This window comes from Homo sapiens, chromosome 6, assembly GCF_000001405.40.
Source record: "Homo sapiens chromosome 6, GRCh38.p14 Primary Assembly".
NCBI lineage: Eukaryota > Metazoa > Chordata > Mammalia > Primates > Hominidae > Homo > Homo sapiens.
In genome coordinates this window covers 87781989-87807614 of record NC_000006.12, presented here as the reverse complement: position 1 = coordinate 87807614, position 25626 = coordinate 87781989, and the positions used below count along the sequence as shown (strand labels likewise).

At 40.5% G+C, this 25626-nt stretch overlaps 1 long non-coding RNA gene across 1 annotated transcript in view, besides 8 other annotated features; it reads right to left on the bottom strand.

The window, feature by feature from the left end:
* Window positions 1-22755, bottom strand: part of LOC101928911 (uncharacterized) — a 126872-nt gene extending 104117 nt beyond the window's left edge. Inside the window, exons 1-2 of the long non-coding RNA NR_110869.1 lie at window positions 22648-22755; window positions 22353-22504 (exon numbers count right to left, since the gene is read on the bottom strand). This is a non-coding gene — a long non-coding RNA (uncharacterized LOC101928911). The remainder of the gene's footprint in view (window positions 1-22352; window positions 22505-22647) is intronic.
* Window positions 7682-7751: an enhancer, noted in NCBI's record as "active region_24810". NCBI's record gives its function as "activates an Ori minimal core promoter by ATAC-STARR-seq in GM12878 lymphoblastoid cells {active_cell/tissue: GM12878}" and the evidence as "EXISTENCE:reporter gene assay evidence [ECO:0000049][PMID:35858748]".
* Window positions 8390-8891: an enhancer, noted in NCBI's record as "NANOG hESC enhancer chr6:88508442-88508943 (GRCh37/hg19 assembly coordinates)". NCBI's record gives its function as "activates a minimal SCP1, AML or CMV promoter by ChIP-STARR-seq in primed H9 embryonic stem cells {active_cell/tissue: H9 hESC(primed)}" and the evidence as "EXISTENCE:reporter gene assay evidence [ECO:0000049][PMID:30033119]".
* Window positions 10689-10788: an enhancer, noted in NCBI's record as "active region_24809". NCBI's record gives its function as "activates an Ori minimal core promoter by ATAC-STARR-seq in GM12878 lymphoblastoid cells {active_cell/tissue: GM12878}" and the evidence as "EXISTENCE:reporter gene assay evidence [ECO:0000049][PMID:35858748]".
* Window positions 10689-11242: a biological region, named in NCBI's record as "H3K4me1 hESC enhancer GRCh37_chr6:88506091-88506590".
* Window positions 10743-11242: an enhancer, noted in NCBI's record as "H3K4me1 hESC enhancer chr6:88506091-88506590 (GRCh37/hg19 assembly coordinates)". NCBI's record gives its function as "activates a minimal SCP1, AML or CMV promoter by ChIP-STARR-seq in primed H9 embryonic stem cells {active_cell/tissue: H9 hESC(primed)}" and the evidence as "EXISTENCE:reporter gene assay evidence [ECO:0000049][PMID:30033119]".
* Window positions 11243-11744: an enhancer, noted in NCBI's record as "H3K4me1 hESC enhancer chr6:88505589-88506090 (GRCh37/hg19 assembly coordinates)". NCBI's record gives its function as "activates a minimal SCP1, AML or CMV promoter by ChIP-STARR-seq in naive H9 embryonic stem cells {active_cell/tissue: H9 hESC(naive)}" and the evidence as "EXISTENCE:reporter gene assay evidence [ECO:0000049][PMID:30033119]".
* Window positions 22142-22286: an enhancer, noted in NCBI's record as "145 bp enhancer 167 fragment used in the MPRA reporter construct; PK_construct_901". NCBI's record gives its function as "activates an SV40 promoter by MPRA in HepG2 cells {active_cell/tissue: HepG2}" and the evidence as "EXISTENCE:reporter gene assay evidence [ECO:0000049][PMID:23512712]".
* Window positions 22209-22220: a transcriptional cis regulatory region, noted in NCBI's record as "FOXA motif; enhancer activity is reduced when this motif is scrambled". NCBI's record gives its function as "necessary for full MPRA enhancer 167 activity {active_cell/tissue: HepG2}" and the evidence as "EXISTENCE:site-directed mutagenesis evidence [ECO:0005528][PMID:23512712]".
* Window positions 22756-25626: the final 2871 nt, after the last annotated feature.

Below are 25626 nucleotides of genomic sequence, written 5' to 3'. Positions count from 1 at the left end.
GAATCGCCAGCAACCCTTTACAACAGTCATAGTCAGAAGAAGCTATTCAGTGTCTGTATCGGTCCACCTCCTTGGCCACTGGTTCTTGGTTTCCAATCCATTCTGCACACTGAAACCTTATTAATCTTCCCGAAAGCTGCATTTCTCCAGACAAGAAGAGCTCATAGAGAGGAAGAACTTATAATACTCTTCTGGGCATTCTAATGTTCACCAAATAAAGCCCAAACTCTTCAACGAGGACCTGAAATTTCTCCATGATCTGGTTTCAATCGTCCTTTCTGTCTTAATTTTCCGCTACTCTGCATGTAAGCAATGATGGCATCTTATCACTAGGAAACTACATGGAACCCAGGAATTAAAAAAAGGAGAAAACTCTGTAAGAATTAGTCTGAGACAAGGAAGGAGGTGATACTGCTTCCAGCAACAAGACTTCAGATGGTGGGTAAGAGAGAGGGAGGAGAGAGCGAAACTTGCTAGGAAAGAGCTGCCGATGAGAGAAAAAAATTGTTATATCTCAGTGAAAATTGTATTTCAAATTTGAACTTTATAAAGACAAATCAAAATAAAACTTTAATAAGATTTTAACTCACACAATATTTGATCTCGTCAACCTCTTCCACGATTATTTAAAACAATCATTTATTTGTTCAGCAAATATTTACTGAGTGTCCACACTGTTCCAGACATTGCTCAAAGTCCTTGGGGATATAGCTGTGAACATGATGGATGTGGACAGCCGTGTAGAGTTCAGTAAAAACTAAAATTATGATACTAAAATGAAGTGGTTAGGCCAGAAGATCTGTGTATGATGTGCATTCACACACCCACACTCCAATGCAACAAAGCAGTGACTCTACGTAATTAGATAAGGCAATAAAAGACAGACTCTCCTATGTTCCATTGGCAGATTGCCCACCTACCAGGTTTTGCTTATCCTTCTGAACCCAGTGATATCTCTAAAGAATGTTAAAATTTCAATTAGGGATGACTTGATCTATCTCTTTATTAATATCCCTGTTCCTTCTCTTTTAACAAATTATTTTCAATTTTTTTCTAAGATATTTTCAATTGCACCTTTGAACAAGAGAAACATGCCCTGCCTCCATGAGAATTTCAGCTTTTCAGAAACTGAGTGTCTCAGTTAATATCTGTTTGGTTGACAATAAAAATCAACTTGAGCTAGCTTATTTGGAAGGAGGAACTTATTCTAAAATCACAGTGGTAATTCACAAAACCCATGAAGGCAGCCAAGCTTGAGAAAATGACCTGGAAAGCCCCTGGGAACCCAGACAGTGTTCCCTCTCTGTTCTTCCTTGTTTCTCTCAGTGCATCTGCTTCTTTCTTCTCTTTTCACACCATCTTTCTGTGAATGCTCTCCCACTGCTTGGGTTTTCACCATTTCAGTTCCAGCTGTAAAGAGCTACTAGCCATCACTGAATCCTAGCATCAAATTCCTGGGCATGAGAATCTAATTGGCTCACTTTAGGTTTACTCTGCTCCAACCAACGGTGACAGGGCCAAACATGTCCACCAAGGTCTGTCACTATGAGAAGCATTGTCATCCAAAATGTGTCTCCCATACCAGGAAAATGTGTACAGAGATTCCACAGCTACCTCCCACTGAGAAATGTATCTTTCAAAATGAAGTTATAGGATGGGCAGTGGCTCACACCTGTAATTCCAGCACTTTGGGAGTCCAAGGCAGGCGGATCACCTGAGGTCAGGAGTTTGAGACCAGCCTGAGCAACATGGCGAAACCCCCATCTCTACTAAAAATACAAAAATTAGTCAGGTGTGGTGGCGCATGCCCGTGATCCCAGGGAGGCTGAGGCAGGAGAATCACTTGAACCCAGGAGGCGAAGATTGCAGTGAGCTGAGATCACACCACTGCACTCCAGCCTGGGCAGCAGAGCGAGACTCTGTCTCAAAAAAAAAAAAAAAAAAAAAAAAAAAAAAGAAGAAGAAGAAAATAGGTTTGTCCACACATGAACCTAAAAATGAACCTAAAAGAGTTTTCCTCCAAGGGTCTCCAGAACACATTTTGAGAACTGTTACATTAAAAATTGCCTACCATCAGCATGTAAGAAAATACTTAAACAAAGCATCTTGATTTTATAGGAGTAACTTCTTTCTGCCTCCATATTAACTAACTCAACCAGTTTAGCTTGCTACATTAATCATATTATTTTGATTAATCTGATTAATCTATGAATCAATTGAATTTGATAAATTGGATTGATAAATAGTATATAGTAGTTATTGAAAAGCTTTGCAGAAGGATAGATCTGAAATGAATACTTGGCTCCTCCACAAATTAGCTACATGACCTCAGGCAAGTCCTTTAAGCATCAGTGTCAGCGTCCCCATTTTTCAATAGGCATAATAATGATACTTACTCACGGGGTATGAGGGTTTCATGGAACACTATAATAAAATGCTTAGCATAATGCCTGATATAGTGAGTGTTCAAAATGTCAGCTGTTTTTATTTTTTGTTACTTAGCATATCTGTGCTCACAGCCACTAAAGATGAATCTTTTCTTACGCTTGAAGAATTAGTCCTACAAGTAATGACTTATGTTTTGTATCCTAAGTGTCCCTACCCCACAGGAAAATGTGCTAAGTAACTACGCCACTAAGACAGTTACTGGGCACACAAGTGTTCTGGGTGCAGCTTGAGAAGGAAATCTCAGGTTACCCTGAGTCCATGTGGTGGTTTAGAAAGTGATTGGTCTCACTGAGAGGTTATGGAGAATGCCTTTAAATGTGTCTGGCTGGAAAAATTAAAATATATTTGGACCTAATTATAATAATATTAGATCTATTCCCAAACTTTTTTTTTTTTTTTTGAGAGACGGAGTCTTGCTCTGTCACCCAGACTAGAGTTCAGTGGTGCGATCTCAGTTCACTGCAACCTCCACCTCCCAGGTTCAGGTGATTCTCCTGCCTCAGCTTCCCAAGTAGCTGAGACTACAGGTGTGAGCCACCACGCCCAGCTCTTTTTGTATTTTTTAGTAGAGATGGGGTTTCACTATATGTTGGCCAGGCTGGTCTCGAATGCCTGACCTCAGGTGATTCGCCCGCCTTGGTCTCCCAAAGTGCTGGGATTACAGGCGTGAGCCATCGCACTTGGCCCATTCCCAAACTTTTATTTTGTTCCTTAAAGATTTGTTTCTTGAAGCCTTAAGTGAAATTTCCCTTTTGGTAAAAAAAAAAAAAAAAAAAAAAGCTTTCTAATTGGTTACTAATAAATCCAGTTCTATGCTATTAAATTTCATCTTTGTCTGTTCCAAATTGACAGAAAATGAGGAAATCATCAAGACATGGATTAAAATTTCTTGTGTAGCCCTGGAGGTCCCATCAATTCTCACATAAAATAAGAAGTATTCGAGAAAATGGAACCCTGACCACTGCTCTCTGGCTTACCTATGACTATCTTTACCCTCATTTCATATATTTTGCTGAGAATACAAAATACATAAGCTATTTAATTTTCTTTATCCAATGCCAGTATATTCTTATAAAATGAAACCAAAAAGCATTTCCTTAAAGCACATGCTGGGTGGCCACATATAACAAGTCTTTTATAAGAGGCAATATGTTTGCGTAAGTGAGAAGGCGGAAAGAGAAGACATCATCTTATGTGGCCACAGTAAGTTTTACACAGATCCTACTGCCTCTATATCCTGCCAAAGCTTGATCAAGCGTCTGAGTCCTAACAAGCCATGATAAAGAGCCAGGAAATAACCCAGGTATTTGGCAAGTTGTGATCACTCAATTTGAAGACTATTTTTTTCTTCAGTTATTTCTCACTCTAAAGCTCTTTCCCATAAGCTTCATAGGAAATATTTAAATTCCTCACGACTCTAAAATATTTAAAATAAACAACTAAAATCCAGTACCTTTGCTTAACTTTACTGAGAGAATGCAACAAAACATCAATCCAAAATTATATAAATCAGAACAACATTTTGAAAAAAATTGTAATCAGCAGCCTAACAAAGTACACACTGATAAGCCAATTAAAACGTTCATGTGTAGCTCAAATAATAAAATGTTTATTTATGATTTTTATCTTTTTCATAAAGGCAAAAGATTCACATTTTTGTTAGATGATTTTCACAATGGGAAGTCCACAACTTGTAGCTTCTCCTGGGTCAGTGATTTGGCAGGATATAGGTCTAGAGTTGGCCACAAATCTTTGTCACCCAAGCAAGTTTGGCCACAGTTAAAACACCAGGACTCTGCTCATTTTATATATTTTAAAATACAGAAAAAGTTGGGGACCCTTAGCACATCAGGATTCATTACTGAGCAGAACCATGAAGTATTTCAGCATCTTCTTTCCCTGCTTCCCAACGATAGCACTAACCCTAGTGTTCCATGAGGACCTAAATACTAATCAATCAAATGGAATGATAAATTGACCACAAGAAACATTACAGTTTCTACAGGATGGTGTTGTATAATGTGGAGAAAGAGAGAATGGGATTTTTTAAAAATTCTTAAACATTTTATTTCTGGTCTGCACCAAAAATAAAGACAAGGAGAATCCTTCCAAGATCATGTCATAAAGTAATGAAAATTCTCTATTTTTTCCACTCAACTCTACTCTTTTGCCACAGTTTCTACAAACTTTATAATCTACTTCAGCACCCACACTTTGAACAAATTAATATAAGGAGGATTCTGGAGGATGAAGTTTAGAAATGGGCAAAATAAGAAGAGTTTTCATTTTTCTGTGGAAATAGAAAAAATAACTAGAAAAAGTTTATTAAAATGTTTTAGTTATTTTTAAGCTTCTTGTCTGTAGAAACTATCCAATTTGCAAAGAAACATTATCCGTAGATCCTTGTAACTAGAACACATTTTTTACAATCATGATTTTAAAATAATTATGTTATCATTACTATGAACTATTTTTTGAACACTAGAAGTACTCCTGATGTATTTCTTATCAGTGGCTTTACCATATTATTTTAACAAAACAAATTTAAAAAGCAAGCCGTAAGATCACTGGACAAGATTAGATGATAAGTTTCCATTTCTAGAAATGGCAGAGTAGCTCATATTACACCAATCCTCCCAAAGTAACAATTATAAACCCTGGAAAACACACACACACACACACACACACACACACACACACAAATCTGAAGCCATTTGAGAGTGTCTAAAAGCAGGCAAAACTAGAGGTGGTCAATATTTAGAGAAGGATGGCCAGGCTCAATGTGCTTATAACCCCAGTGCATTGGAAGGCCAAGACACTAGGATGGCTTGAGGTCAGAATTTTGAGACCAGCCTGGGAAACGTAGAAAGACCCCATCTCTCCAAAAAATATATAAAAATAAAAATATTATCCAGGCATGGTGGCATGTACCTGTAGTCCTAGCTACTTGGGAGGCTGAGGCAGGAGGATCACTTGAGCCCAGGAGTTGAAGATTACATAGAGCTATGATCATGCCACTGTGCTTCCAGCCTGGGCAACAGGGTGAGACTCTGTCTGAAAAAAAAAACAAAAACAAAAAACAAACCAACAAACAAACAAAAAACCCACTGGATATTTGCCAATTTTTTCTATTTCTTTGTCTGAGAGTACTCCCAATTGGTCCCACCAAAAGGTGGCTAAAACTTGCACAGAAACCTTGCTAGCTAAGAAATCGGAAGACAAAATTCAAAGCAATAACAGCAGAGAAGTGAAAGGAGAAATAGTGGAAAGGAAATAGCCGCAGAAGGGAGACTCAAATTCTACATATAAACTCTGCCCAAATCTCTGGCCAGCCTCTAAAATATACATATGTTGGATAGATACCAAGAAATCTAGCTCGAGCTAAAAGAACTAAACAGATTTCAGTTGCCACACCACAGAGGAAAAGAATTTAGAAACTGAAATCAACTAGGTTAATTGCCTGCTAAAACACAAAATCAATACTCTTTAGAGTAACATAAGAGAATGCAGAGTCTCTATATCATTCACAATATGCACAACATGATCCAAAATTACAAGACATAAGAAAAAATGGGAAAATATGACTCATATACAAGAAAAATGACAATCAATGGAGACTCCTAAGATGATTTATATGTTGGAATTAAGAAACAAAAGTTTTAAAACAGCCATTATAATTACGCTCAAATATATAAAGGAAATATACTCATAACAAATGAGCAGAAAGAAAATCACAACAGAGAAATAGAAAAGAACCAAATGAAAATACTAGAATTACAAAATATAATATCTGCAATTTTAAAAACTCACTGATGGGCTTAACAATGAATTGGAAATGACAAAGGAAAGGGTCAGTAAATGTGAAGATAGATCAAAAGAATTACCCAATCTAAAAACAGAAAAGTCTGGGGGTGGTGGCTCATGCCTGTAATCCCAACACTTTGGGAGGCCGAGGCGGGCAGATCACCTGTGGTCAGGAGTTCAAGACCAGCCTGGCCAACATGGTGAAACCCCGTCTCTGCTAAAAATACAAAATTAGCCGGGCATGGTGGTGAGTGCCTGTAATTCCAGCTACTCTGGAGGCTGAGACAGGAGAATCGCTTGAACCCGGGAGGCGGAGGTTGCAGTCAGCCGAGATTGTGCCACTAGACTCCAGCCTGGGCAACAAGAATGAAACTCTGTCTCAGAAATAAATTAAAAATATAAATAAAAACAGAAAAAAAATTGAAAAAGAGGAGAGCCTCCAGGACTTGTGAGAAAGCAAAGAATAACATGTATAACATACACGTAATTATAGTCCCAGAGGAAGAGAAAAGAGAAGGAATGGGACACAAAAAATTTCTGAAGAAATAATGAGAGGAAGATTACCAAACTTGCTAAAGGACATACATTTAAAGATTCAGTAAACCCCAAGCAGGATAAATACAAAGAAAACTATACCTATGTACATCTTACCCAAACTGTTGAAACCCAAAGACAAAAAAAAAAATCTTGGAAGCATCAGAGTAAAGCACTCATTATATACAGGAAAACAATACAGATGATAGCTGATTTCTCATTAGGAAAAAAAAAAAAAAGAAGCCAGAAGAGAGTAAAAAAAAAATTTTTTTTTTTTTGAGACAGAGTTTCGCTCTTGTCACCCAGCCTGGGGTGCAATGGCTTGATCTCGGCTCACTGCAACCTCCACCTCCCAGGTTCAAGTGATTCTCCTGCCTCAGCCTCCTGAATAGCTGGGATTACAGGCACACACCACCACGCCCAGCTAATTTTGTATTTTTAGTAGAGACAGGATTTCACCGTGTTGGCCAGGCTGGTCTCAAACACCTGACCTCAGGTGATCTGCCCGCCTCTGCCTCCCAAAGTGCTAGAATTACAGGTGTGAGCCACTGTGTCCGGCCAAGAGTAAAATATTTTTAAGGTGCAAAAGGAAAAATGGTAAAACCTAGAGCTAGGATTCTATATCTAGTAAAAATATCCTTCAAGACTGAAGGCAGAATAAAGACGTTTTCTTATAAATGAAAACTAACAATGTTTGCTGTCTGCACCACAAGAAATGCTTAAGAAAGTTTTTCAGGCTAACAGGAAATGATAGCAGATGGAAATTTGGATTTCCCAAAACATTCTTTACAAATGGTAACTAGATGGGTAAATATAAAAAACAATATTTATTATTTTTCTCTAAAATACGTATCACTGTTGAAAGTAAAAATTATAGCATCATAATTGAGGGGTTTAAATCATGTGTATATGGAATATATATAACACCTGTAGTATAAAGGAGGAAGTTGATGGTAAAGCACAGATGGCCAGTGAAAGCGAAACTCCCTGGCAGACTTCATTTTTTATGTATAACTTACATTTAGTAAAGTGCAAAGATCTAAGTGTGCACTTGATGAATTTATGCGCATAACCACCACCGAGATCAAGATTTAAAATATTCTGACTCCCCCAAAACGTTCCCTTGTGTCCCTTCCCATTTGATGCCACTCATCTCGCCTCTATCACCATAGATTAGTGTTACCTGTAGACACCCATTTTCTCCATGTTTCCTTTTCCCACTTCTCAGTCCTCTGTTTTCCCTTGTTGCCTTTAGGGCTGTATTGGCACCTCTGTCAAAGGCTCATTAGAGGGATATGTATATCTATTCCTCAGAGCTACATAGATAAATTAATTTCTAAAACAAATTAATTTCTATTCCTCAGAGCTACATAGATAAATTAATTTCTAAAACAAGAGGCATGGAGCCGAGGAAGACAAAAGGGAGTATGAGTAGAAGAACGGGATTCTTCCCTGAACATGCCCTGCTTACTAGCTACATGGAATGAAAACAAGCACCACTTATGTTTCATCGAAACTCCACTTTCTCCAACAAGCCTGTAAAAGCCATGGAGTCTGCCTGTCATGATCCAGCAGGCAGGACTTCTGGTCCCAACTTTCTCAGATTTTACAGCCTCTGTAAGTGTGCTTCAAAGCTCTTCCCCAGGGCTGTTCCAGCAGCACCGAGTGCCCACAGCAGCCAAAGGCACCCTCACATCAAGTCCCAGAACTTGATAATGATGATGTTGGCCTTGAGTGGAGGGTTGCTGATTAGGAGACAGTAGGTGGGGGAATGCAGCAAGCTCTGAACACAAGTTAATTAATGACCACAGTGTGTGCAGTTAATGCTAACATCAAAAGCCAGCAGCATGAAGGGCTCTTTGATCTCCAGTTCAGTACCCTTTCAAGTTGTCCCCTTTATCTTGCCCAGAAAGTTCTTGCTTCTTTCTGCCTTGATTTTTAGGAAGAATTTTAATAAGAATGACCTCCAGCCCCATCCACATACCCCGTGGCAAGCAGGAAATGGGCTAGAGCAGCATCCTGAATACACAGTTAGATCCCTGCATCTCATTGTTACCAAAAGGCTCCAGTTCCCAGTGACATAAAGTGGAATCACAGCTGTCCTTTTAAAAAAAGCTTGTGCACAGGAAACCTGTATAAGAAGGTTCTCAGCAGCATTCTTGATAGGAGTCAAAAGCTAGAAACAGCTAAAATGTCCAGCAACAATAGAATGAATACATTGCTGGGTGTTCTAACAATGGAATAATATATATCCATGAAAATGGACATGACACAGCTCCATGTGACCACATAGATGTATTTAACAGGCATAATAATGGATGAAAGAAGCCAGGAGTAAAATAATAAATGCTACATAATCTCATTTATATAAATTTAAAAACATGCAAGACTAAATTATAATGTTTCTAGGGTGAATAGTTAGGCAGCAAAAGCATAAAAGAGAAGCAAAGAAACAATTACATTAAAATCAGGGAGGACAAGGGCTTCACTCCTTCAGAAGAAACTAAAAGACTTTCTGTGAAAAAAAATTAATGATACCCAATGTTAGCAAAGATGTAGGAAAAGAGGCATTCTTGTACAATTCTAGTGGGAGGGTGAATTGGTACATCATTTCCATTACTTTTGTAACCTAACTATTCACCTAGAAACACTGTAATTTAGCCTTGAGTGTTTTGAAATTTATATAAATGGGCTCATACAGCAAGTTGGCAATGTGAATTAAATGTCTTATAAAAATGCACGCTGGTTGATCCACGAATTTCCTTTTGATCTCAAGGAAGTTATCAGCTGGGTACTTCAAGATCTATACACAAACCTGTTCATTTCAACATTATTTATAAAAATGGTTTCTAGTAGCACACCCAGATATTTGGATCTTACCAAATACCTTGCAGCAGAGCTATATGGAGATGCAAATATTTTCACCAAATATTATTGAAAACATTTCTCATGTGGTCCATTTTTAATTATAGAAAGCATAAATACATATTTAAATGTGTTGTAGGATATTTCACAAAATGTTAACATGACCCTGGGCAAGGAAAAATCATGGGTGATATATTTTTCATCAATAGTCTGTATTTTATGTATTTTTTCCCAAAAATGGACATGCATTTTAACTGTATAAAAAATTCAAGGCCGGGCACAGTGGCTCATGACTGTAATCCCAGCACTTTGGGAGGCTGAGGGGGGTGGATCACCTGAGGTCAGGACTTCGAGACCAGCCTGGCCAACATGGTGAAACCCCATCTCTACCAAAAATACAAAATTAGCCGGACATGGTGGTGCGTGCCTGTAAACCCAGCTACTCAGGAGGCTGAGGGAGAAGAATCATTTGGACCCAGGAGGTGGAGGTTGCAGTGAGTCGAGATCATGCCATTGCACTCCAGCCTGGGCAAAAAGCGAATCTCCACTTTAAAAAAATAATAATAAATATAAATAAATACATACATACATACACATCTTTAAATGGAAGAAAAAGTAAAATCGGGGCAGAGTGGGGGTGTGACAGGGAAGGGGTGTATGGAGGAGGGATGTGTTCTGGGAGCTAGAGATGCTCTATTCTTGATCAGAATGATAGTCATCAGGGTGTTCCCTTCATTCTGCTGTACATTTATTCTCTAATCTTTTCAGTCACTCTACCATATTTCACAACTTTTAAAAAGGGGAGGGGGTTAAAAAAAGAAAAGTCTGAGAATTTTAACACAAGCTAGGGGAAACTGTAGTTTCAAAGAAAAAAAAAAAAAAGGAAGAAGAAGAAAAGCCTGTTCAGTTGCTGCAATGCCTAATAAAGCTGCAAATACAGCCCAAACCCACAGGCTGTCAGATTCACAAAGTGTGAATGTAATGTAGGCAGGGGAGATGAAGCATTGAGTTATGTTTCTCACTCACACACACACACACACACACACACACACACATGAAAATCTGTCCTTCTGGCCGCCCACCCTTCACCTAATCAGCACCAGTCTAGGCTGCTCAGTGGTGTGTATTCTCACCAAGGTGCTGCCCAGAAGATCCACCTTGCTCAGGGAAGCGTAGTTGGTCCTGTTCCCTTTCACTTTTGCTGGTGCCAGAAATCCTGACAGAAGCAACAGTCTCTATGGTGCCAGAAGAGGAGGCTGTAGCGCTGCCTGGAGACAAACCCTTGCAGAATATATGCTTCCAATTGGAACATGTTGCTTTTAGAGCCTCAGGGCCCTGCAAGGGCAGGATGTGCCGCTCTGATTCCCAGTGTGTGACAGCAGGGGATTCCTCCCAGTTATTCTCAGAGTCAGGCTGTGGTTTGTACTTTCTTTTTTTTTTAGAGACGGAGTCTCGCTCTGTTGCCCAGGCTGGAGTGGTGCAGTGGTGCGATCTCGGCTCACTGCAACCTCCGCCTCCCGGTTTCAAGTAATTCTCCTGCCTCAGCCTCCTGAGTAGCTGGGACTACAGGCACACGCCGCCATGCCCGGCTAGTTTCTCTTGTCTTTTAGTAGAGAGGGGGTTTCACCATGTTGCTCAGGCTGGTCTCAAAACCCTGAGCTCAGGCAATCCGCCCACCTCGGCCTCCCAAAGTGCTAGGATTAGAGGTGTGAGCCACTGCACCCGGCCGGTTTGTACTTTCTATCAGATCATTCAACTAAACTTTGTGACACCGCAGATAAAACAAAGCAGATTAATGTCGCTGATCCAAAGAGCCAGGTTCTGCTGCACTTGGACCCAATGGGACCCGAAGAGGCTTCGGCTCTCCAGCAAAGATTGGGGGAGCCAGGTTTGTCCTCACCCGTAGTTCAGGGATGGTGTTGGGTAATTTTGATAAAGTACCCCTTCCTCATAGAAGCAAAAACTCCTTTCTGTTATTTTTTCTTTTAACTTCCAAATTAAAGACACCAACATGTTGTAACAAACAACATAGAACATCCTTTAATCCAGTAAGGGGCACTGCCAACCATGAAGAAGGTCAGTTCACAAGCAGACACATAGGGCATAGACATGGCCTTCCCGTTGCAATCTTGGTTCCACCTCTCATGGTACCTCACGCTCTCTGTCTTGTGTTGTAACTATCTGTGCACTTACCATTGACTTTATCTCCTCCATTACTGGGCTGCAGGCTCCCAGAGGACATAATCCGTGTACAATGGATTTACCTTTGTTTCCTCCCTGCCTGGCATAATGCCTTGTAGTCAGTAGCTCCTCCAAATGTTTGTAGAGAAGAAGAAAGGGAATTAGCATGCCTTAATCTCTAAGCTGTACCAGTTACTATACATATGCTTAATGTATATGATCATATTTAACTCGTAAAACCAGCCTCCAAGGTGTTATTATTACCATTTTATAGAAATGGTAAAGAAACGGAGGCTCAAAAAAGTTAGATGCCTGCTTAAGATCACTGAGCCAGTTAGAGTGAGAGATGGACTTGAGTCTAGAACTGTCCCTCTGCCAAATTCCTGCTCTTATTTCTTCATTAACGAGTGAATGAATGGGGGTTAATGATACCTGTGCGATGAGTCATCCCCAGACCCCCAGGTGCTACTAACACTGCTTCCCAACCCTCGCCTGGGGTTGGCAGGGCTTTTTTAATTCACTGGATAGTCCCTAACAGGGCTGGCATTAACCCATAGACAATAGAGAAGTGGCCTTGGCATTAGTTTGTGAGATATTCTCTCTGCTCAGATAACCTCCAGGGCAAAAGTGAATGCCACTGCGTGCTTCCTCTGTCCTTAAGCATGACCACACCCATAAGGGCGAAGCAGACTCCTGAACTCACCCAAGCTTTTTCCTTAGAATGTCTTCCCCGTCATCTGCCTGACAAATGCCTGATCATCCTTCAGGATGCCTTCCTCAGCTCCCTCAGGCAGAGCTACTCACTCATTCTTCAGCTACTGCAAACTGAGTAGGGACTACACATTGTGGGGTCTAAAGTAATCAAAAGTCTCTACCCTTCAGGAACAGCAAGCCAAACAGGGAAGAAAAGAGACCAGCTGCAGTGGCTCACACCTGTAATCCCAGCACTTTGAGAGGCTGATGTGGGTGGATCACTTGAGGTCAGAAGTTTGAGACCAGCCTGGCCAACATGGTGAAACCCCGTCTCTACTAAAAATACAAAAATTAGCCGGGTGCGGTGGCGTGTGCCTGTAATCCCAGCTACTCAGGAGGCTGAGGCAGCAGAATCGCTTGAACCCAGGAGGTGGAGGTTGCAGTGAGCTGAGACTGAGCAGTGCACTCCAGCATGGGTGACAGAACAAGACTCTGTCTCAAAAAAAAAAAAATTAAATTAAATTATATATATATATATATCCCTTTTAAATAAGTTTAAATAAAAAGAGAGTTTATTGGAAAAATACATGGAAATTTCCTAGAACTCTAAATTGGGCAACACAGCCAGGCCTCAAGAGAGACAAGAACCAGGTACAGATATTAGGAACCAAAGCTTATTTTTGTTCTCTCTCTCTCCACATGTTCTTTCATCTCTGCTTCTGTCTTCTCTCTCTTCTCTCTCACTCTGAAAATACTAGCATCCTCTCTTCATTTGCACATGCATGAGCCAAACATAGATGCCCACATCTGATTTGTTTTTCCAAAATAAACAAAAAATTATAGTGACAATGAAATTTTTTTGACATTTTTGAAAATCCCTTTAGTGGCTTGCTTAATAAATGACAATTGAATCCCTACATCTGCTTCTACATTCAATCTGTTGTGATATACTATTTCAGTTGAAGTATATAAAGAAAATTCAGTCTCACAGAGAAATGTAGCTTAAAAAGAGTAAAGTATTTGTGGATAATTTTTGACAATACACCAAAACTCAACATGTGGTAGTTTCTTAAAGTTTAATTGCAATGTGGAATCTGAATTCATATAAAAGAAATTGTCTTTTTTACCATAACATTAAAATCCGCTAGTCTGTCTTGCACTTTGATTAGATCTTTAACCTGCACATTTGTCATTCATAAAATATTGGTTCACTGAGTTATACATCTCATCTTCCTAATGTTGACACATTTTATACAAATATATTTCTTAAATCTCATTTGTTGATATCACCACTGATCCCTTCAGAAAGGTCTTTAAGTATTGAAAAGCTATCAAGCTCACAGTGACAGATACAAGTTTTACAAAATTCTAGTTTTCGTTTGGAAACACAAATTCTAACATTGGCACAGAAAAAAAATGTTGTTGGTTGTTTTTCTTGAAGTGACAGGATAATCTGGTTCATTTTCAAGAAAATGTCTGCCAAATACCTGGTTTGAGACATCATAGTTTGTGCAGTCAAGTAGTAATGGTACTCCTTGAAAAAAAGCCATTAGTTTTAGTTCACCACGCAAGCAATTACTTAAGTGGTTTTCCCAGACAATTGCCTACTTCAGCATGCAGTAGATATGATGTATGCATTTTTTCCATTTCATCACACAGAATGTGAAAAAGACATGTACCCAAAAGTCAAGTTTTAATGAAATTAATTATTTTTACTGCTTCATCAGGGACATTATTAAGTAACACTGGCTTTTGCTTTTATTTTTTCCTTATTTTTTCTTACTGTGAGTGCATGGTAGTGAGAAATGTAACAACCACAGTAAGTGCTATTGCCTTGATTCATGCTAAGATGCCAGCAGTATTCCCCATCACTGCTGTTATTCCATATGTGAAAAAGCACACTTAAAAAAAAAAGGCGGCCAGGCGCGATGACTCACACCTGTAATCCCAGCATTTTGGGAGGCCAAGGTGGGTGGATCACAAGGTCAGGCATTCGAGACCAGCCTGGCCAACATGGTGTAACTCTGTCTCTACTAAAAATACAAAAATTAGCCAGGCGTGGTGGCATGTGCCTGTAATCCCAGCTACTCGGGAGGCTGAGACAGGAGAATCGCTTGAACCCAGAAGGCAGAGGTTGCAGTGAGCCAAGATGGCACCACTGCACTCCAGCCTGGGTGACAGAGTGAGACTCCATCTTTAAAAAAAAAAAAAAAAAAGGCAGATATCCTCTTAGCCTTGTTATCAAAATGGTTTTAACTTCTTGGACCCCATGAAAGAGTCTTGGGGTCCCCAGGGGCCCATGGACCACATTTTGAGAACTGAAATTCTAAACCATTCAAATTCAAGTTTCTGTTTTTGTTTTTGTTTTATTTGAGACAGGGCCTTGCTCTGTTGTCCAGGCTGGAGTACAGTGGCACAATCCTGGCTCACTGCAGCCTCGACCTTCTGGGCTCAAGCAATCCTTTCACCTCAGCCTCCTGAGTAGCTGGGACTACAGGCTTGCACCACCATATCTGGCTAATTTTTTGTTTTTATAGAGACACGGTCTCACTATGTTGCCCAAATTGGACAACTTAAGTGATTAATAAACTCCTTTGGTCCCAATTTCCATATCTAGATAGGAAAAATTTACATGGCCCAGCTCGGGTTAAGTGTCTGCCCCAGCCCTCAGTGTGGACAGGTGTGTGATCATGTGGGCCACTGTCCACTTAATAAGGATTATGGGACCAGACAGTTGGAAAAGGAGTGAACAAATCTGACAGAGCTGAGATTCAGGATAGGGTGGGGTTAAGCACCTCCACGAGCTTAAAAAAGAGTTGGAATGGCCAGGGAATTCAGCAGGAATATATCTTGGAACCTTGCCACAACACTATTAACAACTGAAGTGTGTATAGTTTTACAGATTCTAAAATGCTTTCACACGCATCACCTCATTTAATCCTTCCAACAGCCCTGTGAGATAAGCATTCCTACCACTCTACAAATATAGAAACAAAAGCTTAGGCCGGGCTCGGGTGGCTCACTTTGCCACCCAGCACTTCGGGAGGCCGAGGCGGGCAGATCACCTGAGGTCAGGAGTTCAAGACCAGCCTGGCCAACATGGTAAAACCCCATCTCTACTAAAAATACAAAAAAAAAAAAAAAATTAGCCAGGCCTGGTGGCGGGCGCCTATAATTATAATCCCAGCTACTCGGGAGGCTGAGGCAGGAAAATCGCTTGAACCCGGAAGGCAGAGGTTGCAGTGAGCCGAGACCGTGCCATTGCACTCCAGCCTGGACAACAACAGTGAAACTCTGTCTCAAAAAAAAAAAAAAATAGAAATTAGATCTTTGGACTTTAAGCAAAGGACTCACTCACCTACAGCACAGCTGTCTGCCAAGCTGCGGAAATTACACTCTAGGTGATCAACAGGTGCTCAAAAATTTGGAACAAGCATCCTGTACCTGATGAGGGTGGGGGTAAAAGAAGAAAGACTTAGGGCTCCCTGCCTAGAAGTTAAAGTTCAGAAAAGGGAATGGAGCCAGAGAGTCAGGGATTCCCCCACTTTCCTGAATTCTGGATAACTGGGTGCAGTGAAGACCCTGTGGTCTAACTCGTGTTAGGTCACTCCACCAACTCTCACGGGACAAGGAGCCTTCACTCCATGCCATCGTCACTACCAGTAAAGTGCAACTTTATGTGAGAAAAGAATACTGCTCTTGAAGAATCAAGTGTGAAAGTGTTATTTTTCTATTAACTATCTAATGTGAATTATTGTGCTCAGACTAGGAACTAAAGCTTAGACTTTGTTACATTATAAACATTTTTTTTTCTACAGTAGACCAGCTGGAGGACCTCCCACATGAGAAAGAAATGTCCAGTCTAAACAGAGAGGCATCCATTTAGGGAGCCTGGCTTTGAACCTTTCCCTGACACAATCCAGTTTCCCCTAACCCCTTTCACCCAGTATGGGTTTCTAGAATATTATTTCAAGTGTGCTGAGCCAAGAGGAAATGAAGATTAAAGTTAAGAAGGAAACTAACAGTTTGCTTTTAAAATACACAAGCAAAGCCTGGCTTTTCATAAGAGATCCAGGCTCTGAGTTCCAAAGCAAATCCAGTGAAATACCACCATGAAACGGAATTGATAATTTCCCAGAATTAGGGGTCCAATATGGGGATCACGAGCAACTTGTGAATGTTGAGATCTGAAATGTAGCTAGTCTGAATTGAGATTACACTGTACATGGAAGATACACATCAAATTTCGAAGACAGTACAAAAACTATGTAAAATACCTTATTAATAGTTTTATATTGATTACATGTTGAAATAATATTTTAGATATATTGAGTTAAATAAAATATATTATTCAAGTCAAGTTCACCTATTTCATTTACTTCTTTAATGCGGCTACTATATAATTTAAAATTCTATATGTGTCTCATGTTGTATTTCTATCAACAGCACTTGCGTATGGGGGTCAATTAAACAGCCCTGCTAACCCCTCCACATTCAGCTCTTCCTCATTTTTATTCAGAACCACATCATTTTGTTTTCTCATTAATTTTTAAATTCCTACTTACATTTTGATAAAAAAAAATTTTGAAGGGCAACTTAGTTAAATTTAGGCAAGTTGAGATGATAAAAAAAAATAGAAGAGGGAAAAGATCCAAATCCCAAGGTCTCTTTGTTTACTGAGAATGTAAAAAACAAACAAACAAAAAAAACCTGCTCATCTGTTTCCCTCTCTTGATAAAGAGAGGGATGTACTTATCTACATGACAAATTGCTGTCTCTCCTAGAAAATAAATAATGTAATCATGACAGATTAGTTCCTATTTGACATTCATTAAAAATGAGTCTGTTGAATTTAAGATCTCCCACCACATATTAGCAGATGCTCAAAAAGCTAGAACGAATTACCGGCTAAATGCTATGACTTTGTGAAAATAAATCTCAGTAAGTTCTTACCCAGGGAGTTAAACTACTGGATATAGGGAGAATGGAAGGAAGACGAGGTGGGGGTTGTGATGGGAAGGTTTTAGTTGCTGTGCAACTACTCAGTCACATTCAAATATTTTAGAAAAGTTAAATGGTATTTGGGAAGTCTAGAGAAATTTTATGTCTTTGCCTCTAGCCTTAAACAAATCTTCACTTTAGCAGACTTGAAGGTTAGGATAAAGGTTAACAAAGAACCAGGCTAATCATTTGGTGACACTAGCTGGAATACAGAGCAATACCATAGAAACCCAAGGGTTGGGGAGATGTGGGGCAGTTGCAAAACTTGTTGCAATTCTCTACAGGATCATGAGATTGCCCCTCCCAGGTTCCTACTGTCTCAAAGATGACCTTCCCCAACAGCTCCCAGGAGTGACTCATTGCTTTCTGTTGAGCCTCTCCACCTCTCCACACTCATCAGAGGCTTAATAATTACTTTATTGAACAAAGCAGGAAAACATGAGTCCAGATGAAAGTTCGAATCTTTATTAACCAATCCTCCCAGCTTTGCTTTTACCCATCCTTTATCCTGTCCCTGGAGAGGATTCCTCCTTTTTTATTGTTTCCTACTGCCTGCTGGATTTGCTCAAGGTATGTGAATTGCTGTGCAGTTTTCCCACCTGGTCCATCTTTGGCAACCTCCAGGTAGCATTTTCCAACACCATAACCCTTCTCCTCCTGCCTGTGTCTGTGATCCCTCCCTGCTCCCTGGGCAACGACCCTAGTTTGCAAGTTACTGCTTGTCAATGGGCTGGAGTTTTGTTAGGATGTTTTGAAATGAAACAAATCCCTCCCCCAAGGAAACTGACTCAGCAAAGATTATTACAAATGTCCCACAGTTTACAATCATGGGAAAGGGAAATTAGAATTGAGATTTATTCAGAAGATCCCACTTGTCAGAATTATGCAACTGATTTTAAAATATTTTAAAGAAGCCATTAGAAAAATAAAAATACTCCTTAAATTTAAATGGGTATGTGCTACAAAAATACTTAAATCTGTACAAACACAAATTTTAGCACCTAATCACATACTTTCAAAGTATGCTGCAAAATGTATATAATTAATCTTAACTCACGCTAAGATAAGGAAATCAGTATTACCAATCCTGCTACATTTTACAAATGGAGAAACTTCGCCACAGTAAGGTTTTACAAGGTGTCCAAAGCACAGAGAACTAGCATGAATTAGCCAGGGTGGCTTATTGAGGGTCAACACCAGACCAAAGATTATGGAGGCAAAAAAAAGAAAGAGGAAAAAAAGAGGATCAGGGGGATACACGGAAAAACAAAAGAAACCACCCTGAAACCTAAACCATTCCCTGGAGTGAACATGAGCCCAAAGTTTTCTTTCACAGAATGCTCAACCTTGAAGTAAGTGCAAAGAGTACATTCATACAAATGGACCAAATTGGACCAGTGGGTTCTAGAAGACAATCTTTCTTGCCTGAGAATACCCTATCTTAGCCCACATTGCCTTTTGCAGAGCTTTCTTTCCTTCTTCCAAAACATTTTTCTCTCTTCACAGTTCTTTATTTGAAAAGCTGTGGGAGACATTATAGGCTGGTAGCTAAGAACAGAAGAATCAGAAAACAGTGGGCTCAAAACCTGGTTCCACTGCTTACTAGCCATGCTGAATGCAGAAAAATTCTTAACCTTCTAAAATTGCTGGTTTACCTACAAAATGGGATGATAATAGTATCTACTTCTTAGGATTGCCGAAATGATTCAACAACATAATATTCATAAAATGTTTAGCATGGTCCCTGACCTGTTCTCAATAAATGATAATAATTACCATAATTCTGTCTTAAAACAAGAAATTCCAGCTTCTCAGACAACAAGGAGAGCAGCCAAAACATACACTGACAGGTTTTAAGGGATTTTAAGAAATTCTGCTGGGCACGGTGGCTCACTCCTGTAATCCCAGCACTTTGGGAGGCCCAGGCAGGCGGATCACCTGAGGTCAGGAGTTCGAGACCAGCCTGGCCAACATGGTGAAAACCCATCTCTACTAAAGATACAAATATCAGCTAGGCATGGTGGCGGGTGCCTGTGGTCCCAGCTACTCCAGCGGCTGAGGCAGGAAAATGGCTTGAACCCAGGAGGCGGAGGTTGCAGTGAGCTGAGATTGCGCCACTGCGCTCCAGCCTGGACGACAGAATGAGATTCCATCTCAAAAAAAGAAAAAATTCTAAGTTGGTTTGCAAGTTTGGAACCACCTGAGAAATAGACATAGAAATCAGACAGATGGAGATCAGAACATCAATTTGGTTACCAGTAAGAGCATGGATAGTAGAACATGGCTTTGATGAATGGCCACAGCAGGCTTCTATGGCTTTACCTCTGACTTAAGACAAGGCCCACCACATGCCTGTTCCTCAAAGGCAGGCCCCTTAAAACACAACAGAGAGCAGAATAGGCAGGAGGGTCTTTAAGAGAGAAAAGAAGAGGCTGTATAGAGCAAGCTCAGTTTTTCCTTCCAGGGATGGAGAGAGGCCAAGAGTACAACTCTAACAAGTTCTTCCACAGGGAAAGATAAACAGTAGAGAGAGTGTTCTCACCCTACCCCATCCCCAACGAGAAAGTATTTTCTCATTGGGGTTGCTCTACAAAAAATGCCTTGACTCCCCTGTCCCGCCAAGACATCTTCCTGCCCTAGTGTTCTCTTTTTCTTGTCCCTTCTTATCCTCCATAGTATGATTCTCCAGGTTTATTCAGGTTCAGATCAACACTCCCATATTCTGCTCCTTGAATTCTGTCCTGATGCAGTAATAGCATACAAAGATATTCACTTGCAAAGGCTTTAATTTTCATAGTCCTTTGCTCCTCACAAGTATGCCCTCACAACAAAACCCAGTTTAGAAGAACATAGTGAGAGTAAGAATATACCAAAAAGAAAGGAACCTGGAAAATATAGTATTGAGTCATCCAATCATTCCTGAGTACCCGATATGTGAATTTAGGGTGTTGTGAATGTGGCTGTGAACAAGACAGAATCCTGCCTTTTTCCCATGGGTCTTCCACTTGATGTGGGAGAAACAGGGAAGGCTATCCAAAGAGGTTTATCTTCACCTGCATGGAATAAACCAAAGACCTCAGTTCCCTCCCACCTCTTCCACTAACTGCCTGTGTGACAAAGTGTCTCTAGGCCTTCGTCAAATAAGGTATTAAAATCAGAAATAGAGGCTGCTGATTCAAAGTTCTCAAAGGTTTCCCTCTTCCTTGGATCTTTCCAAAGAGAGTCTCTTCTAGACAGTGGTGAGATCAAATACAAACATAGGTGACTTAGCAGGTGTCCTAGACAGACACTGTTGGGAAACAAAGGAATCCACAAGTCAGATACCACTTACTTTTATTTTAGACAAAACTCCTTCAAGCTCAGTGATCCTTTTTCTAAAGCCAAAGCGGATGGTGCAGCAAATTGAAAGAAGAAACTATAGATGCAAGGACAGAAGGAAGAAGCAAAAAACCATAATGGAAATGTCTGACTTAAATATTCCTGTAAAACCTTACCATGTAGAGGAGAAACAAAAGGGGAAAGATATGTTTTCAAGAAAATTAAAATTAGAAATGTTTGGTACTTTAAGGAGTAAATTTCTCTATTCTGGAATATTAATCTGTATTCCCTCATATGCAATTTACCCAGTGAATTTGCAGTTGATTTCTTTCCCAGAAGTTGCAGGCTCAAATGCTTCATGAGTCAAACAAGTAACAAATATGTAAAGTGGCTGTAGGGGGTTCAAACTCAAAACACAATAGAAACTCAAACTCAGAGCTGTTTTAAAATTGCCGAGGTCAGATTTCCGACCCCTATCTTTTTTTTTTTTTTGAGATGGAGTTTTGCTCTTCTTACCCAAGCTGGAGTGCAATGGCGTGATTTGGCTCACTGCAACCTCCACCTCTCGGGTTCAAGTGATTCTCCTGCTTCAGCCTCCCAAGTATCTGGGATTACAGGCGCACGCCACCACAGCCGGCTAATTTTTTGTATTTTTAGTACAAACGGGGTTTCACCATGTTAGCCAGGCTGGTCTCAAACTCCTGACCTCAGGTGATCTGCCCACTTCGGCCTCCCAAAGTGCTGGGATTACAGGCATGAGCAACTGTGCCCGGACTTTTGACCCCTATCTTAATCAATGTTTAGGGGAGAGAAAGGTACTCCCTGAACTTGACAGTAACGTCACCCTCTGAGAGTGACCCTAGTAGGAATCAACACATAACAGATGAGATGAACCACGAATAGAAATCACCTGTCCTGTAATTGGTCTGTAAATGTATGGTTGAGAAGATCCACTCTCTCTAGTCTTAGTCAAGGTAACTAGGGCAAAGTCTCAGGGAGACAAGACTGATTGAAATTAACGAGGCAGGAAGGGAAATTGCTGGGTTGCCTTTCCTACAACCATTCCTTTCCTCTTTTTCACCAAACCTGCCTCCCGTAAGAGGCTGTGAAAATGTTAGATACTGCCATTCACAGCCTCTCTTGCAGCTAAGAGTAAAAAGGTGATACTGTTCTAGCCAAGAAAACATGAGGGGAAATCTGCAGAGCAACATCTGGAAAATTTATTCTCTGTGATAATAACAACCACAAGAAGAAGGTTTATCCCTTTGCTGGGCACAGAGATTAAGGGGGAAATGGAGACTCTTCAAAGAAAGCACAGGCCAAAACCACATAATTTGAACTTCAAAAGGGTTATTACAAATCTATGTTTACTCTTGGAGAATGCCTTATAGATCAAAGGTTGTATCTAACCCTTTAGACACTCCAAATCAAACACTACAGAAAATTTAAAAATCATGAAACCAGGTTTGGAAAAAATAAAAATTCCAAAAGAAAACTATCATACTCACTCAGAAAAGAGTTGACAGTGAAGAGTTTGCCCTGGGACATTGAAGATCCCCAGAGAGGCCTAGAACAATCTTTATGGAGATGCTCCAGCTGAATTAGATATCCTGTTTACAGCAAATATCATGATGGATTTTGCAACTGCAGTTGATGATCTCTGTCAAAGTATTAGGTCAAAGCAAAATATAACAAAACTTTAACCACTTCTTCAGCTTTCTCCACATTAAAAAGGAACAACAAGAGACCATTCCAACATAAGAGTCACCTGTTATTTGCCACTTCAGATCCTCTCAGCCTTACCTTTCTCTGTGGCCTCTGACCTCTTGTTCCAGCTCAGCCCATATTGTGGCAGCCAACTCTGTGTAAATTTCAACCAACTTCACTCAGTGCATGCCAATAGCACCTCACTTCATGCACACCTCTGACATCCTGTCCCGCAGCTTTCCCGTTGATGCTGGGTATGTCTGCATATGTACATTCAGGGAGTGCAGGAGGATTAACACCCACTGGAAAGATTCTTTGACCAAAGGGAAACAGGAGCCAACAACTAATTCTCCCTTTAACACATCAGAGGACTGTCCTGAGAAGCAATCATATATATCCCTTTCAATAACAGTTCCCCAAGATCAAGGGATCAGTTGTTCTTAATAGCTATCCTCCAATTGCATTTCCCTCCTTCCCTGCCTCACTCTACTTTTCCCTAATTCCCGATCCCTACTAGGGAATTGCCCTCCCTAATTAAGTTGTAGCACATAAGCCTTGGCCTCAGGCACTGCTTTCTAAGCAACAAAAGCTCAGAATGTATTCGTTTTCTTATTGCTGGTAACAAATTACCACAAACTTTGTTGTGGAAAACAATCCCTGTTTATTAGTCAGGTCACAATTCTGTAGGTCATTCTACCCCAGTGCAGTTGGGTTTATAGCTCAGGTTCACATAAGACTGAAACCAAGGTGTAGGCTGAGTTGTGTTCTCATCAGGAGTTTAGAATCCTCTTCCAAGCTCACCTGGTTTGGGCAGAGTTCAATTCCTTGCAGTTGTAGGGTAAAGGTTGCCATTTCCTTGCTGTCTGTCAGCTGGGGCCTGTTCTCAGCTCCCAGAGGCTACCTGCATTCTTTATCACATGACCCCCTCCATCTTCACAGCCAGCAATGGCACATTGAATCATTCTTATGCTTCCAATCTCTTATCCTGGCCAGGCATGGTGGCTCATGCCTATAATCCCAGCACTTTGGGAGGCCAAAGTGGGTGGATCACCTGAGGTCAGGAGTTCGAGACCACTCTGGCCAACACGGTGAAACTCTGTCTCTACCAAAAAAAAAAAAAAAAAGAAATACAAAAAATTAGCCGTGCATGGTGGCGGATGCCTGTAATCCCAGCTACCCAGGAGACTGAGGCAGGAGAATCACTTGAACCTGGGTTGCAGTGAGCAGAGATTGCACCATTGCACTCCAGTCTGGGCAACAAGAGCAAAACTCTGTAGCAAAAAAAAAAAAAACTCTCTTACCTCTCTCGGCGTCTGACCCCTAGACCCAGATTTAAATGACTCACGTGATCAGTTCAGGACCACCTGGATAATCACCCTATCTTAAGCTCCACTGACTTGGAATTTTAATCACGTTAGCAAAATCCCTTTGGCCATATAATGTAACATACACCCTCACACTTGAAGGGAAGAGGATTATACAAAAGCAAGAGTCATTGGGAATCATCTTAGAATCCTGCCTATCAGACAGTTGGTATCAAGGGGTGACCCTTGAGAGCAGACCCTTAGGATGAGATTTTGGTACTAGATTACTCAGAGCTCTGAAAGCAATAGGGTTTCCAGTATTAGCGGTAAGTGGGGTGGAAGTTCCCAATGTGCAATGATATCGCAAGTACTGTCTTTCACCTGAAATTAATTGATATTAGGTGGAGCTAGAAGGTGAGGCAATGGGATATGCAATGGCTGTGGTACTTAAAAAGTATGGGAGCAGTTATGACTGAAAATTGTGGAATGGCCTTACTGCTATTAACAGAATCAAAAGCCTTCAAAAAAGAAAATGATAGACTCAGGACAAACTACTACCAATTCAAAGCTTGTTTTGAAAGCCAGAGGGCCACTGAGATAATTTTAAAAATACATTTATCTCCTGTTACTAAAGGGCAAAGCTGCTAGGGAGACAAGAATTGTGCCTCATTCTTAGTGGTAGCAGGTGTGAGGTGCAACCTCTCATTTTTTATCTTGGAAGGGATGACCTGGCATGTTCCAGACCACTGGATCCCTACAAACTTCACCAATGTAGCAATTCCCTGAATATTCATGAGATTTATCTCCCACTCTCTGGTACACATGATTCTACTAGGGCATTGGTACTTGCCACTCTTTGTTCATCAGGTCCATTTAGTAAGATGCCATATGGTGATCTGATGATTGTCAACATGACTGAAGCCCCTAAAATAGAAAGCAAAAGAATTTACATAGTCCTGGGGGCAAGGACATGAATGTGTAGTGCTGTTCTTCCCATGAAGGTGAATTACTTTTGATCTTTCCTTTTAAGGGGATTGAGAAGTATGAATTCACTAGATCAATAGCTGCTTATCAAGTGCTAGAGGTTGGGTTGATCTGAATCAGTAAAGATACCATATACAGGAGAGCAGGTATAGTTGGGATTAATACCCAGTTAAGTCTATGGAAGTCTACACTCTGCCATGATCCATCCAGATTTTGCAGGAACCATGCAGGTAAAATGAAAGCAGGAAATGATGGTAACCATAACAACTGTATCTTTTAGGTCTTTCATAGTGGTGCCAATCTCTGCAATTCCTTCTGGCATGTACTATGCTTCTGATTTATAATCTTGTCTGATGGGGCAGAACAGTGGGGAGGAATAGTTTCAGAAGCTTCCACTTGGCCTTTTTAAAGTTCTAATGGCGCAAACTCTACTGATTAGGGAACAACTATGAGGATTCTTCTAGTGCTAAGTATATCTCTAATGCCCTCAGGAACTGAGAAATAACAAGATTGGTTCACAGACCCATTGGACCCACTATGAGATAGATTTGGGCCAGAAGTCCATTTAACACATGGTCCCTAAAAGCACACACACTGTCTGCAGGTCCATGACAGAGTTTGGGGTTCCCTGGTATCAGTGTCCACCTAAATCTCTTATCTAAAAATCTTTGAATCTGAGTCTTCTCTTTTTCCCAGTGTAGTTACTCTGACAAATGTCTACAGGTCTCTCCACAAAAGGAGAGAGGGAAATATTTACCTATCCACTTGTGTTATAAAGTCCTTCCAC